General features: G+C 43.5%; 1 protein-coding gene and 1 long non-coding RNA gene across 3 annotated transcripts in view; both read left to right on the top strand.

Moving 5' to 3' along the window:
- Positions 1-16,552, top strand: part of ZNF670-ZNF695 (ZNF670-ZNF695 readthrough (NMD candidate)) — a 133,266-nt gene extending 116,714 nt beyond the window's left edge. Inside the window, exon 7 of the long non-coding RNA NR_037894.2 lies at positions 16,271-16,552. This is a non-coding gene — a long non-coding RNA (ZNF670-ZNF695 readthrough (NMD candidate)). The remainder of the gene's footprint in view (positions 1-16,270) is intronic.
- The window catches only part of ZNF695 (zinc finger protein 695), a 62,512-nt gene extending 45,960 nt beyond the window's left edge, over positions 1-16,552 (top strand). For both annotated transcript variants that reach the window (NR_037892.2, NM_001204221.2), the window contains exon 6: positions 16,271-16,552. Coding sequence is in view for 1 of the 2 variants with exons in the window: in NM_001204221.2 (NP_001191150.2) it covers positions 16,271-16,301 (31 nt within the window). In the remaining variant the exon portion in view is untranslated. The remainder of the gene's footprint in view (positions 1-16,270) is intronic.
- Positions 16,553-16,899: the final 347 nt, after the last annotated feature.

The raw sequence follows: 16,899 nt of genomic DNA, 5'->3' as shown, positions 1-16,899 counted from the left end.
GCCTTGACTGCCCTATGAAGCAACCAGAGAAGGAAATTACACATGGATTTCCTTAAAGAGAAGTTCAGATTTCTCTAAGGTTATAAAGATACAGGCAGCAGTGATCGTCACCACCACCGTCTGCCATGACAACTCATATGTCTGCAAAGCACAGTGCCATTGAGGTGCCTCTCTATGCCTCTGCGTTCTTGAGATCTTTTCCCTTAACTGAATGATGAAGGGAGTGATGAAGAGGGCCCTTTGCTAAGCAGCCTGGTGAACACTGAAGTCAATGATCACAGGAGTCAGATCACCCTTACTACTAAGTTCAAGCTATCTGAACTCCCTTCCAGAATGGGAATGAGGCAGGCTGCAGGATGTGGAGCCCGAGGGCAGCACCCAAGAAAATAGTCTAAAGCATCTTTTGCCTATCTCAGGGACCAGTGGGTGACAATTGGGTCTGAAGCAAAATACTATAAGCAGAGGTAGCAAGAGGGAGTAGGTGAATTCAGTAGAGTGAATGGGAAGCATCCTGGAAAGATTCCCTGAGTGTCTTGGGAAGGAGAAGCAGAGCCTTCCTGTACGTATGAAGAGAGCTGTGAAAGCAACACTCTTAAACTCAAGCAGCTTATAGAACAATGGCCCTGCAGTTTATGGAATGGAGGTGGCAGGGAGTAGCAATAATGGGGCTTAGGATTTAAGAACAGGCACTGTGGGAGGCAGAAGATTTGCATTCATTCATTTTAAAAGACTTTATCGAGTATCTACGTGCACATGAAATAATAGGTAGCAATATAAGATTGTCACATGAACAAATAAACAGCTCATTATAGGCTGGTGCAGCTGGAGGTGGCTTTGAATGCATATATAACTTCTAATGAAGTGTTATGCCTAATTAGTGGAGTAACGTATATAATTTTTGAACTGATGATGCTAAAGATGAGAAGTTTGAGTTACATATGCATTATTTGATGTTAAGACTTATACCCCATGATTTTGAAATAGCTAAGTTTCTTGGTCATCAACTGACCCTACTATGAATTTCAATGAGTGAATCAAGTCAGGAAGCCCACCTTCATAGTGAACATGTTTTAAATGATAATTGAAATAGAAACATTTTTGAGCTCAAAAGACCTTCATAGATTCTTTACTTTTACAGCTCTCTCTACCATTCTTTGTGTTGTTTTTTGTTTTTTGTTTGTTTGTTTGAGACAGGGTCTCCACCCAGGCTGGAGTGCAGTGGCGTGATCTCAACCAGTCCAGGCTCAGGTGATCCTCCCACCTCAGACTCCCAAGTAGCTGGGACTGCAGGTGAGCACCACCATGCCCAGCTAATTTTTATATTTTTCTAGAGTTTTGCCATGTTGCCCAGGCTGCTCGCGAACTCCTGGGCTCAAGGGATCCACCGGCCTCAGCCTCCCAAAGTGCTGGGATTACAGGTGTGAGCCACCATGCCTGGCCTGTACCATTCTTTGAAGGATAGATAGCTATCTTGAACTATGGAGAAATGATCTGAATTTGTAGACAGAAATGAAGAAAAGAACTTGTCTTGCATGGCCAAGTAGGTCTTGTATAACCTTATCACTCTGAATGGAAACAAATGGTTCTCTGGGGCATATATATAGAGAGAGAACATAGGTAGTATTCTATACTGCTACACAATACCAACTGTTTTTACTTTTACATATATGACAAACAGCATTGGAGAAACTAGCAAACCACTCCAAAAGAAACCACACTCTATATAATATAAATTTTTCCCCAAACTGCAATCATATCAGCCTGCTTGAGTACAGCAAAATGCATCTAGGTTACTGGGAAATCTTAGGGTGGCAGTGTTGTTCACTCTAAATATATTAGTGTTCCAGATAAAACTGTGGTTCCCTTTTTGCTGATATGTTTACAATTTCTTTGAATAGAAAAGAGGAAGTATTACAATATGAGAAAGTTTCCTTAAATAATGACGTGGCAAAATGTGTGAAATCTGAGAGGAAAAGCAAGCAGTTAAATTATTCATGAAGCTTCTCAACTGGGTTTTTCAATGAGATTGGTTTGTTTCAAATAATACATTGTGAAATATGTAATCTAACATACTTAGAGGAAATGAAGTTCAGTGAAATTGACTGTTGCATGAAGATAGCAGCTTACCAAAATACATAACCATAGTTATGAAAACTCATACATTGCTACGGAACTAATGGATCAGAAACACTGGAGAGTTTTTGCTTCTGAGGAACAGTCCACTTTCACCGCCTATCTTCAGAACCGCCACGGAGAGGGAGAACTAAGAACATCTAGCTGTTAATTTCCTGCATCATTGGTGCAGAATGTGGCACATTGTAAGAAAAAGTGACAAGCTCAATAGTCTAGGTTCTAAAAATATGCCCATTTTGGGCCAGGCACGGTGGCTCACACCTGTAATCCCAGCACTTTGGGAGGCTGAGGCTGGTGGATCACGAGGTCAGGAGTTCGAGACCAGCCTGGCCAAGATAGTGAAACCCCCATCTCTACTAAAAATACAAAAATTAGCCGGGTATGGTGGCGCTCGCCTGTAGTCCCAGCTACTTGGGAGGCTGAGGCAGGAGAATTGCTTGAACCCAGGAGGTGGAGGTTGCAGTGAGCCGAGACTGTGCCACTGCACTCCAGCCTGGGCAACAGAGTGAGACTCTGTCTCAAAACAAAAACAAAAAAAATGCCCATTTTGGGTTCTAGAATAAGCAGATAATGTGTTTTCAACATTTAAATGCTTCTTTCAGAAAAGAGATTTTATATATATATATATATATATATATATATATATATATATATTTTTTTTTTTTTTTTTTTTTTTTTTTTTGAGACAGGGTCTCACTCTGTCATCCAGGCTGGAGTGAGTCCTGTGGTGAGATCATACCTCACTGCAGTTTCAAACTCCTGGGCTCAAGCAATCCTCCTGCCTCAGTCTCCCAAGTAGCTGGGACTACAGGTACATGCCCGGCTAATTTTTAAATTTTGTTGTAGAGACAGGGTCTTGCTATGTTGCCCAGGCTTGTCTGAAACTCCTGGCCTCAAGCAATCCCACCTTGGCCTCCCAAAGTGCTGGGATTACAGGTGTGAGCCAACGCACCTGGCCAAGACACAGTATCTGATTCGCTGACATCTGAGGAGAGTAAGGATAATTTACAGTATCTGATTCATTGACATCTGAGGAGATTAGTGATAATTTACAAGACACTTCTTCTTCCCCGTGAGTGGCACTCGCTTTCTTAAACCAATAGCAAACACACTTTTCACCTTAGAGGACTTCACTGTCCCCGCGTGTTACTATGGCTGCATAACAAATCACCCGAAAATGGGGTGGCTTAAAGTACAACAATCATGCGTTACATCGTGTATTATCTCGCACCGTTTCCATGGTTAGAAATTCACACCAGGCGTAGAATGGATGGCTGGTTTCTGACCCACATTGTCAGGGATATCAGCTGGAAGACTCAAAGGCTGGCGCCTGGACTCTGAGGGATCATTCACTCAGGATCATGACAGCAGCTGATGCTTGCTCATGGCTGGGGACTAGCTGAGGATGTCAGCCAGAATTCCTCACTAGACCTGTCTGTGGCCTGAGTCTCCTTACTATGTGATGGCTGAGTTCTAAGGGTAAGGATCCCAAGAGAGAAGGAAAAATAAATGGAGGTTTCTTCATTTTTATGACCTAGCCTTCAAAGTCACATATTTTGTGACTTTTTGCCAAACTTCAATACTGGGGCAATCATAAGACAAGTCCCGGCTGGGTGCAGTGGCTCACGCCTGTAATCCCAGCACTTTGGGAGGCCGAGGAGGGCAGATCACGAGGTCAGGAGATCAAGAACATCCTGGCTAACATGGTGAAACCCTGTCTCTACTAAAAATACAAAAAATTAGCCGGGCGTGGTGGTGTGCACCTGTAGTCCCAGGTACTCGGGAGGCTGAGGCAGGAGAATGGCGTGAACCCGGGAGGCGGAGCTTGCAGTGAGCCGAGATCGCGCCACTGCACTCCAGCCTGGGCGACAGAGCAAGACTCTGTCTCAAAAAAAAAACAAAAACAAAAACAAAACAAAACAAAACAAAAACCAAGTCCCTGCCTAGATTCAAAGAGAAGAAACATAGATCCAACGTCTCTGTGGGAGAAGTGTCAGACTCATCATAGAAAAGGCATGTAGGATGCATGTAGTAATAAATATACAGGTGCAACCATCTTTAGAAAATACAAGGCTGGGTGTGGTGGCTCACGTCTGTAGGACCAGGAGTTTGGGACCAGCCTGGGCAACATGGCAAAACCTGTCTCCACTAAAAATACAAAAAATTAGCCAGGCTTGGTGGTGTGCACCTGTAGTCCCAGCTACTGGGGAGGCTAATGTAGGAGTCACCTGAGCCCAGGAGCTCGAGGCTGCAGTGAGGTAAGATCATGCCACTGCACTCCAGCCTGGGCAAGCTGAGTGACACCCTATCTCAAAAAAAAACCCAATCTGCCACAATGTGTTTCTAGAAAGGTATTGAAGGTTTATCTCATATTGCTACATAATTTGAATTTTAAAATATTTTATTATAAATATCTGCTCACGTGGAAAATTTAGAAAAAGATGAAAAGAATAGTCCAATATAGTCCTACCACCCAAATTAACCATAATTAGAGAAGATTAAAGTTTTCTTATAGTCAGACATACGATTTTCTGCTGTGGTTTCTTCGTTGCTTGTGTTCCCCAATTCTTTTTTTTTTTTTTTAGACGGAGTTTCGCTGTGTTGCCCAGACTGGAGTGCAGGAGCCTGATCTCAGCTCACTGCAACCTCCAACTCCCTAGTTCAAGCGATTCTCCTGCCTCAGCCTCCCGAGTAGCTGGGACTACAGGAGTGCACCACCACGCCCAGCTAATTTTTTGTATTTATTAGTAAAGACGGGGTTTCACCATGTTGGCCAGGATGGTCTCCATCTCTTGACCTCATGATCTGCCGGCCTCGGTCTCCCAAAGTGTTGGGATTACAGGCATGAGCCACCGCACTCGGCCTGTTTCCCAATTTTTAATTAAAAACTTGAAAGAGTAGTACAAAGAATACCATTTATTCTCCATATAGATGCAGATAATACTAACATTTTATTAATTCAATATTTGCTTTATCTCTTTTTTTCTTACTGAACCAATAGAAAGTTCATTTCACATATCATGATACCACCTGTAAATATTACAGTCACAACATGCATCTCCTAAGCATAAGGACGTTATACTGAGTAATCACAACAACGTTATCATCTCAAGAAATAGGCCCAGCGCAGTGGCTCATGCCTGTAATCCTAGCACTTTAGGAGGCCAAGGTGGGAGGATCACTTGAGGTCAGGAGTTCAAGACTAGCTTGGGCAACACAGCAAGACCACATCTCTACAAAAATAAAAATAAATAATAACAATAATAGTTTCATGATATCTAATAACATAGAATGGGCAATTCAATATTAACATACCCCCAATTATCCCATGATCTTTTTTTTATTTTTGGAGGCAGAGTCTCACTCTGTCCCCCAGGCTGGAGTGCAGCGGCACAATCTCGGCTCACTGCAACCTCTGCCTCCCGGGTTCAAGTGATTCTCCTACTTCAGCCTCCTGAGTAGCTGGGATTATAGGTGACTGCCACCAGGCCCGGCTAATTTTTGTATTTTTTGTAGAGACGGGGTTTCACCATGTTGGCCAGGCTGGTCTCAAACTCCTGACCTCAAGTGATCTGCCTGCCTCAGCCTCCCAGAGTGCTGGGATTACAGGCATGAGCCACCGCGCCCGGCCCCCATGACCATCTTTTATAGATTTTTTTAAAAATAATGATCCAATCGGCCGGGCACAGTAGCTCATGCTTGTAATCCCAGCACTTTGGGAGGCCGAGGCTGGTCGATCACGAGGTCAGGAGTTCAAGACCAGCCTGGCCAACTTGGTGAAACCCCATCTCTACTAAAAATGCAAAAAAATTAGCCGGGACTGGTGGCCGAAGCCTGTAATCTCAGCTACTTGGGAGGCTGAGGCAGAGAACTGCTTGAACCCAGGAGGTGGAGGTTGCAGTGAGCCGAGATCATGCCACTGTACTCTAGCCTGGGTTACAGAGCAAGACTCTGTCTTAAAAAAAAAAAAAAAAAAAAATCCAATCCAAACTAATATCTGGCATGTGGGTATCTTTGGTTAATGTCCTCATCTGGCTCCCGTGCCTCCGTACCTAAATCTGTCAAGTAAGGGGTTAGTGATGAGACCGTTGTCTACCCAGGGAGTTCTTGTGAGCATCATATTCACTTTCTTCAGCTGGGACTCACTGAGCACCTTCTGTGTGCTGGACATTGTCCAGAAGACAGTAGTACTCTTAGGAGCCTACATTCTAGAGAGATGGTAGAAAAGAACGGACTTTGAAAAGTTAACATCGCTAGGTAAATATAGGGCGTTATCATTTTAGGCTAAAGGATTGAAACAAATCTTGGGGAAAAAGCCTCCTTTGTACAAAAGAAAATGGATTTAGATTAAAATTAATTAGTTCTGTTCTGTGTAGGTGTTTGTTTACAAGCTCAATGAAGAGATCAGCAATACTGAGTAGAATGATAATTTTAGAGTTTAGAGTATATGAGAACACTGCGGGAGAGCTTCTACTCTTAATTAAATAAAATTACTTATACACATTTTGTCACATAATACAGTTAAGCACTGCATAACAGTTTCAGTCAATGATGGACCTCATAGACGACAGTGATCCCCTAAGGTTACAATAGAGCTGAAAAATTTCTATCACAAATACTTACCATTGTGTGATGATTTCCTTACACTATTCAGTACAGTAACATGCTGTACAGGTTTGTAGCCTAGGAGCAATAGGCCTGTATTGGTCTATTTTCATACTGCTATGAAGAAATACCCAAGACTGGGTAATTTTTAAAGAAAAAGAGGTTTAATGGATCCAGTTTCACATGGCTGGGGAGGCCTCACAATCGTGGTGGAAGGTGAAGGAGGAGCAAAGGCACATCTTCATGGTGGCAGGCAAGAAAGCACGTGCAGACTTATTCACTGTCGTGAGAACTGTATGGGAAAAACTCCCCCTATGATTCAATTACCTCCCACCAGGTCCCTCCCATGACACGTGGGGATTATGGGAGCTACAATTCAAGATGAGATTTGGATGAGATTTGGGTGGGGACACAGCCAAACCATATCAAGGCCTTACCTGATAGCCTAGGTGTATAGTAGGCTATACTATATAGATTTGTGTAAGTACACTCAATGATTTTCTCAGAATGTATCCTGAGATGACTGTATGACTGTATTAAATTTTTATTTTCTCAGTTATTATTTTCCTAAAAACTTAGTGAGCAAGAAAACCCTATAAGAATATAGAGATAGCAAGTCAGAGTTTCGAGCTGGAAGTGGCCTGAGAGATCGTCTAATCCAGATTCCACATTTTTACAGATGATCTGATCAGTGATCATTTTACAGGAATTTGCATGAAACTTAAGGCTCTAGACACACATGGTTTCCATATATAGAAGCCTGATTCCAAATCCTGTACATTAGACAAGACAATCAGAATCTTGTGTTATCCTGATTTTTGTTCTTCATCTTCCAGTTACATGGGTTTTCTTGTGAGAGCTGAAATAATAGTATCACCTTTGGGGAACGGTGACTGCCAGTTTTGGATCAATCTTAGGCCACTGGAAGGTTGGTGGATCTTCTCCAGCAATTCGGGCTGAACTCAAGCAAAGCTGAGTCTAAGATCAGTTTGGACCCTTTCCCCTGGAACAGCTGGCAGGCATTGCCTGTTCCTGTCCTTGGCTTTCAACTGCTGGACAACATGTTTGGGGAGTGTGTGCCAATATTTGGGTTTTTATTCTTCTGGTTTAACAGTTGTTAGTGCCGTTGGCTCTCAGGGAAATTCAGGACAATCTCCTTCTGTAGCTTTAAGGTTGGCCTGATTGGCAAGACAGTTGAGGACAAACTGAAGTCATTCGTTCATTCATGTGCCAGTGTCCCTGTGCTCAGAAACAGTTGTTTTAAGGATGGCAAAATGGAAGACTTGAGGATTTATGATAATACTGAATGGCTATCCTCTAGGGCACTGTTGAGTCTTAGCAGAGTCCCAAGCTCTACACTTACCCTGAGTTTTTAGGCTTCTTTGTTTTTCGGGTTTCTTTTTTTTTTTTTTTTTGCTTGTTTGTTTGTTTGTTTTGAGACAGTCTCACTCTGTCGCCCAGGCTGGAGTGCAGTGGCGTGATCTCAGCTCACTGCAACCTTCATCTCCTGGGTTCAAGTGATTCTCCTGCCTCAGCCTCCTGAGTAGCTGGGATTACAGGTGCCTGCCACTATGCCCAGCTAATTTTTGTATTTTTAGTAGTAATTTTGTATTTTTACCACGTTGGTCAGGCTGGTTTTGAACTCCTGACCTCAGGTGACCCACCTACCTTGTCCTCTCAAAGTGCTGGGATACAGGCGTGAGCCACTACGCAGGGCCCATTTCTTTGTTGTTTTTTTGTTTGTTTTTGAGATGGAGTCTTGCTCTGTCACCCAGAGCTAGAGTGCAGTGGTGCGATCTTGGCTCACTGCAACCTCTGCCTCCCGGGTTCAAACGATTCTCCTGCCTCAGCCTCCCGAGTAGCTGGGACTACAGGCGTGTGCCACCACGCCTGGCTAATTTTTTATATTTTTTTTACTAGATGCGGGGTATCACCATGTTAGCCAGGATGGTCTAGGTCGCCTAACCTCGTGATCCGCCCGCCTCGGCCTCCTAAAGTGCTGGGATTACAGGCGTGGCCCACTTTGTTTTTATTACTGAGGTTATTCTGTAGGTTTTCTGAAAATAAGCAATCAGCATCTAGGTCCAAATTTACAATTTGTAATGACATTCCAAAATTCATCAATGAATAAAACAATAGCTAGGAATGTCATGTTAATTATTTAAATACGTTGGAATCTGCCAATGTTCCCTTAAGCCTCCCTCCAAAGGAGGCCTGAAGTTGAGCGTATGACAAGAAAATATCTAGTAGAGTAGAACAAACTTAGTATTACACCGAAAGCCTAGGGAAGTATTACAGTCCAGCCATTGGGAACCTCAGAGGATTGTGGGGTGGACATGCCCTTCTAAATTGTGGCTCAAGTAGGGTCACATCCTTTCCTAGGTTTCCTTCATTGTGGCTGAGACTGGCAATAATTTCTTTTTTAAAACAAAATTTATACAGATAAGGCCTCACTATGTTGCCCAGGCTGGTCTTGAACTCTTGAACTCCTGGGCTTAAGTGATCCTCCTGCCTCAGCCTCCCAAAGTGCTGGGATTACAGATGTGAGCCACTGCACCTGGCCAAAAATCAATAGTTTCTGAAAAGAAGTTGCTGAATACTGTTGAGGAATAAAAGATGAATTAAATATGGAGAATAAAGGAAGCATAACACCAGCATGCTGGAATGCACCTGTAGTCCCAGCTACCCAGGAGGCTGAGGAGGGAGGATCACTTGAGCCCAGGAGTTCAAGCTTGCAGTAAGCTGTGATTGCACCACTGTACTCCAGCCTGGGCAACAGAGTGAGACCCTGCCTCAAAAAAAAAAAAAAAGAAGAAGAAGAAGCATAACATTATTTATTCTAGTCATTCATTCAACAAATATTCATTGAATACCTAATATGTGCTGGAGATATGAACTGTGAACAAAACTTTATAGAAAGCTTACAGTTTTTAATATCCTTTTTCTGATTAAAGAGGAAAACAACTTGCAAACTGCAAGGAGACACAAAATAAATAAAATGTTTAAATCACCTGTGCAAAATACAAAGGACACTAAAGAAAATTTGAAATTATCATCTGTGGTCTCTGTTTTCATAGAGCTTCCACTCTGGTGGTAGAAGTGGTACTTGGGGGCTGGACACAGTGGCTCACGCCTATAATCCCAGCACTTTGGGAGGCCGAGGCAGGCAGATCACTTGAGGCTAGGAGTTCGAGACCAGCCTGGGCAACAAGGCAAAATCCTGTCTCTACTAAAAATACAAAAATTAGCCAGATGTGGTAACATACGACTGTAGTCCCAGCTACTCAGGAGGCTGAGGTGGGAGAATCGCCTGAGCCTGGGAGGTCAAAGCTGCCATGAGCCAAGATCACACCACTGCCCTCCAGCATGTGCGACAGAGCGAGACCCTGTCTCAAAAATATATAGTGGTACTTGGGAAGCCAGACAGTAAACAAAGATGAACTGGTGCTGTGAAGAAAAAGCAAGGTAAGAGGACAAAGAGCGGGGGGAGAAGGTGCACTCTAGGTAGGGTGGTCAGGGAAACCTCTTTGACAAAGCCTATGGGGCTCATTCTATCCCTTTCTAGTCCCAAAGGGCTGGCCCAGCTGTGCCAGCACCTGGCTTACCAGGTCTCAGCAGTTCCCACAGGAAGGATCTTCCACACAGAAGCTGGCTTTCCTGACAATTTGGATCGTTGTAGCTAAGGACCAGGGCCTCTGTGGTTGACCTGAGACTTGCCTCTTTGTTCTAGTTTCTGGTCTAGGAGCGTGTAATAGTCTCCTAAGGCTGCTATAACAAAACACCACAAATGGTGTGCCTTCAAACATCGGAAATGTATTATCTCAGTTCTGGAGGCTCAAAGTCTGAAATCAAGGTGTCAGCAGGGCCTGACTTCTGCCAAGGCCTCTAGGGAAGAATCCTTCCTTGCCTCGCCCAGCTTCTGGTAGCCCCAGACATTCCTTGGCTTGTGGCAACATCACTCCAACCTCCACCACCTTCGACGTGGCCATCTCCCCTCCGTGTCTGTTTTCCCTTCTGATTGTATGAGGACCCACCCTATTCCAGCATGACGACTTAATTAATTGCACTTGCAGTGCCTCTATTTCCGAAAAAGGTCACATTCTGAGATACTGGGGGTAGGACTTCAGCATACCTTTTTGGGGAACACAGTTCAGCGCATAACAGAGACCAAGAGTCCAGGCCCAAGGGCTAGGGTGATTTTTATAATGATGACATAATGACACATACTGAGGGTGTCTCGGTGCCTCCATTTCAGACCAACTATATGACAACACTTAAACTGAGTAAAAAGCACAATATTCCTACAATATGAATTGCACTCATTCTGTAACAAAAGGGACATGAAGTCATACCTTTGTTTTATTACTAACTGTATATTGTTTGATAGTAAACAAGTTGACATGACTTTGGAGGAACAGGGTATACCTGTTTGATATTTTTCAATTTGGAGTGGTCATAAGAATAGCTACTGTTTTACAAGTTTACTCATTTAATTTTCACAGTCATCCTAGGAGGATGAAACTACTGTCATTTTGCATTTTACAAATGAAGAAACCGAGACAGAGTGGTCAAGTACCTTGTCCAAAGCTGCTCAACTAGGAAGAGACAGAGCCAGGAGAGCAATGAAATGTTAATAGCTTTACAAATCCCTGTAATTGTCATTTGTTTCTATATTGGGTGGATTTTTTTTTTTTTTTTTTTTTTTTTTTGAAACGGAGTTTCGCTCTGTTGCCCTGGCTGGAGTGCAGTGACGAAATCTCTACTCACTGCAACCTCTGCCTCCCGGGTTCAAGAAATTCTCCTGCCTCAGCCTCCCGAGTAGCTGGGAATACAGGAGCGTGCCACCACGCCCAGCTAATTTTTTATGTTTTTAGTAGAAATGAAATTTCACCGTGTTAGCCAGGCTGGTCTCAAACTCCTGACCTCAGGTGATCCGCCCACCTTGGCCTCCCAAAGTGCTGGGATTAGAGGCGTGAGCCACCACCCCTGGCCTGGGTGGATTATTTTTAAAGGATTATATATAATCAAAAAGAATGGCAAGTCTGAATCTTTTCAGTAATTATTTTTAAACCATTTGAGAGGCCTTCCTAGTTGTATATTCAAGCATAGTCCTTGGTCATAAGCACACACCAATTTTGTCTTTCTCCCAAAAGGTCACGAATTATGAAACTAAGCAAAAGCAGGAGGCAACCAGATAAAAGTGGGGAAACATATTCTCCTTTTAATCCGTAGGCTCTTTGGTGAGTTACATCAGGAACTCATGACCTCCTTTGGCTTTCAGTAACTGAAGCCTAGTATATGACTTTAGTACAATAAGATTTTATTTCGTAAAATGAGGCACATAGCCACTTTAAAAATAAAGACACAAATATCTCTTCTGTGGCATAAGATAATAAAAATATTACTTAAGCCGTAAATCTGAAGCCGAATTAATTCTGTATACATTTTCCTGCTACAGAATGTCACTTTTATACGATTATATTTAAAGACACATACAAAATTGTTAGTATGTAATTGATGGTTATACTATATAAAAGAAAAGTAATTAGTCTTTTCCATTTGTTTGCAAAGTAAAAAAAATTATATCTCAAAAAGTCACACTGACCACAAACTCAATAACAAGAAGGCGTGGGGAAGTAAGGGACCTTTGATGAGGTGGAAAGATCAGTCACTGTTGGGAACCTGTAAGAATAAGAACATGCAGCTCAGTCAGGAAGGAAACCCCAGGGTTCAAGAGATAGAGCTCTTTTTTTTTTTTTCTTTTTTTTTGAGACAGGGTCTTGCTCTGTCGCCTAGGCTGGAGTGCAGTAGCATGATCTCGGCTCACTGCAACCTCCACCTCCTGGGTTCAAGCGAGTCTCCTGCCTCAGCCCCCCAAGTAGCTGGGACTAAAGGCATGTGCCAACATGCCCGACTAGTTTTTGTCTTTTTAGTAGAGACGGGGTTTCGCCATGTTGGCCAGGCTGATCTTGAACTCCTGACCTCAGATGAGCTGCCTGCCTCGGCCGCCCAAAGTGTGGGGGTTACAACTGTGAGCTACCAGGCCCGGCCCAAGAGATAGAGCTCTTTAGGAGGAGATACTAGTCTCACTAGATCCAACATAAATGGATTGAACCAGAGCTAAAAATTCCACCTGCCTCTCACAGAATTAATTTTAAAAGAAAATACCATCATATGGTATTCCTGTTTTCATTTTTACCAGCAGGGTCCTTCTGTTTCATTACTCCAATCTTTAATTCTTTTCTGGAGTTCTGGAGTTGCTGTTAGCATTAGAAAAGTTTTGCATGTGATAGCTGTTTCCTTAAATATCATGCAAATATTCTTGAAAGCATCCTCAATGCTGTTGAAGTGCAAAAAAGGAAACTAATATTCATCAGACACCTACTAAATATCTGGCAGTATTCTAGGTATTGTACATAGGGTATGTAATTTCGTTCTCAGAACAGCTCTGTGAGGTGGGCGCTATTATTATTCCAGTTTACAGATGAGGGAATAGATGCTTAGGGAGAGGCAAGGCTTAGGGTCTTCAGAGCAATGAGGCGAATGGCAGGGTATAAAGCCCTTAGCCTCTTACCTCTCTTGTCTTCTATGAGCCTGTTGCTGGTTATAAACTTGCTTGAAAAGTTTGCTCTTAGTGCTAAATTGTGCAACTCAGACACACTAAAACAACTATTTATTGTACACACATCGTGCCAGACACTTTTCATGCAACACCATTAATTTAATCTCTACAGTGGCAGCCCTGTGAAGTTAGTATTATTTTCCAATTTTATTGCCAAGGAACCTGGGACAGAATGTAAATCAAGGTACTGTTTCCTTCATTGAGAAAGTCTGACTTTGGAAAAAAAGTCAGCCAAGTTAAGTAGTGTGTTGAGTGGCGTGGCTCATTTTATTTTCTGGTGCAAGCCCCTTATCTCCTCGCAGCCTCGTACAGACAGTTTGGGATCCACACTTGGAGTGGCATTGGCTTAGAAAAGGTCAACTACAGCCAGGCGTGGTGGCTCACACCTGTAATCCCAGCACTTTGGGAGGCTGAGGAGGGTGGACCATTTGAGGTCAGGAGTTCAAGACCAGCCTGGCCAACATGGTGAAACCTCATCTCTACTAAAAATACAAAAATTAGCCAGGCGTGGTGGTGAGTGCCTGTAATCCCAGCTACTCAGGAGGCCGAGGCAGGAGAGTTGCTTGAGCCTGGGAAGTAGAGGTTGCAGTCAGCCAAGATCACGCCACTGCATTCCAGTCTGAGTGACAGGGTAAGATCCTGTCTCAAAAAAGAAAAGAAAAAGAAAAGGTCAACGACGTCACTCATCGCCTCACAGGTAATGAGTGTGGAGACAGAATTCCAAGCAAACTGTGCTCTTTCCCAATACCACATTATCCTTCCAGTATTCAAGGAATGAAATCATGGCCTCAGCAAACAACTCTGCAGAATTTTCTCCTGCCACAGGGCTTTCCTTGTCCCGTTCCTTGCAATAATTTTGCAGCATGTATATTATATTAGAAAAACAATAGCTACTTAAATGTTCCATTAGAATTATAGAAGGCTGTGATACTGGTACATGGTAATTCATGGAGGTGAGCACCAGAAATTAAAGTAAGACATAAGATTGTCCTCTGAAAATAAAACAAGTGATGTCTGTACCCATTATGGATAGAATTATCCATCCGTGGGATTAAATCAAGAGACTGTGAATAAACGTGTGGTTGAGATGCATGGAAACGCCCGATATACCACTCACAGTGTCCCAGAAACAATGCCAGGGAGAAAAGCCTGATTGTCGCTTCATCAGCAAAAACCCAAATCTGTTGTACTCTGCCCTGTGTGGAATGACCTTGTGCTTAGAATGGCAGTAGTGCGGGAAAGGAAGTCGGAGACCCAGAGTTGGCTGTGTTGATCTAGAACAGACTGTTCTCTGTTGAGAGGCAATTGTGAGTCACCAGGCTTCCCAAACCTTCAAAACAATCCCCACAAGCCATGTACAGTGGTGCATGCCAATAGTCCCGGCTTCTCAAGAGGCTGAAGCAGGGGGATTGTTTGAGCCCAGGAGTGTGAGGCTATGGTGCACACTATATGACAGGCATGACAGTGCCTGTGAACGGCCACTGCACTCCAGCCTGGGCGACAAAGGGAGGGTCTGTCTCTAAAAAAAAAACCACCCCCCCAAAAAAAATAAAAAACCCTATCACCCCATTTACTCTTTGATTTTTTTTTTTTTTTTTTTGACGGAGTCTCGCTTTGTCGCCCAGGCTGGAGTGCAGTGGCCCGATCTCAGCTCACTGCAAGCTCCACCTCCCGAGTTCATGCCATTCTCCTGCCTCAGCCTCCGGAGTAGCTGGAACTACAGGCGCCCGCCACCACGCCCGGCTAATTTTTGTATTTTTTGTAGAGACGGGGTTTCACTGCATTAACCAGGATGGTCTTGATCTCCTGACCTCGTGATCTGCCTGCCTTGGCCTTCCAAAGTGCTGGGATTACAGGCGTGTGCCACCGCGCACAGCCTACTCTTTGATTTCATGTTCACCAAGCCATATTTTGATTACTCGGTTTCCCACACATCTCACTATCTGAAGAGAGGATTCTCTGGATCAGGCCTACAGGAATCCCAGTTAAAGCAAAGAAATATCCACTATTATCAATCAGTAAGTTAGAATTTTGGTTTCTAGATACACTTCTTAGGATTGTGGTTCCCACAAGTCAGTCTCCTTGAGACAGATGAGCTCTAGGAGTCCTGGCATGACCAAGTTTTCTCCAAGAGCAAGACTGGAGCCAGGTTTGTGGTGCTGTCACCGGGAGAGGGCCCGCCTGGCTGCCAGCCAGATGCCATCTCGCTCATCACCCCTCCTTTCAACCTTCACAAATGAGTGCAATTGTTGGCTACATAAAATGCCAGGAAATAAGTAAAAGTCCGAGAGGGTATGAAAATTTATCAGAAGGCTAAAAATGAGTAAGAAATCAGACCGCATAAGAATTGAGAACATAATAGGGACCACGTGGTTCAGAAAAGTGGCAAGGCAAGAACAGGCAAAGGCTTTGGAAGAGAATGAAAGTACAGTCACGTTGTAGGGAGAAATTTTCATGGTGTAGATAGAAGACGCTCTGTCATATAGTGATAGGTAGACTCAAGAAAAATCAGAAAGCAATCAAGATGGGATGGGACGTGGGATTAGGAAGGTCAAAGGACTAAAATGCAGCGGCGGGAGGATGATAGCCTCAGCCGGTGTGGCACGGGGAGCATTTTCATTGCACATCCTTCTGGGGAAAGACAATGAGCTAAAAAATAAAAGCTCAAACCTCCCGTATTTATGGAACTATCGTATAACTTTAGATTGCTTCATCTTTTTGCCATCTAAAACCTCTCAGAGGCTGGGCGCAGTGGCTCACACCTGCGTGAATTTGAAATGGCAAGGGACAGACAGACTTCTCCAATGGAACCAAGTCTTCAATCAGAACCGGTTTAACACCTCAGCATAAATCATATCCCAAGGAGCTACTCGGAACCTTAAGCTGCTTTTCTTTCTTTCTTTTTTTCAGGGTCCAGTCGTCGACCATCGAGCTGCTTTGAAGACCCTGCGGAGGTTCCGTCGCTGCTTGAACACAGTGCCTGGACTCCCTGCTCCGTGAGGCGAATTTACACCGGGTCCAGCTGCGTCAGCCCGAGTTCTGAATTAAAACATGCCTCCCACAGAATCTATTTCTGATGAATATGAAAGGAAGATTGTTCTTCCATGTTGGTTTTTATTGAGATATCTCTTTTTTTCCCTTTTCATTTGGTTGTCCTAACTCCATGAATAGAAAAGAAAATGTATTAATTCATTTTTTAATTTTCTTTTTTATTATTTTGTTAGTGTTTCACTTTTTTTCTGCACTACACAGATGTAGTGTATTCATTCATTTTTTTAAAAAAAAAGGCTGGGTGCAGTGGCTCACACCTGTGATCCCAGCACTTTGGGAGGCTGAGGCAGGTGAATCACGAGGTCAGAAGTTCGAGACCAGCCTGGCCAAGATGGTGAAAGCCCGTTTCTACTAAAAATAAAAAAAAAAAAATTAGCTGGGCGTGGTGGCAGGCGCCTGTAATCCCAGCTACTTGGGAGGCTGAGGCAGGAGAATCACTTGAACCCGGGAGGCAGAGGTTGTAGTGAGCCGAGATCGTGCCACTACAC

The sequence above is a fragment of the Homo sapiens genome, chromosome 1 (assembly GCF_000001405.40).
Source record: "Homo sapiens chromosome 1, GRCh38.p14 Primary Assembly".
NCBI classification, from domain to species: domain Eukaryota; kingdom Metazoa; phylum Chordata; class Mammalia; order Primates; family Hominidae; genus Homo; species Homo sapiens.
This window is presented reverse-complemented; position numbering and strand designations above follow the sequence as displayed.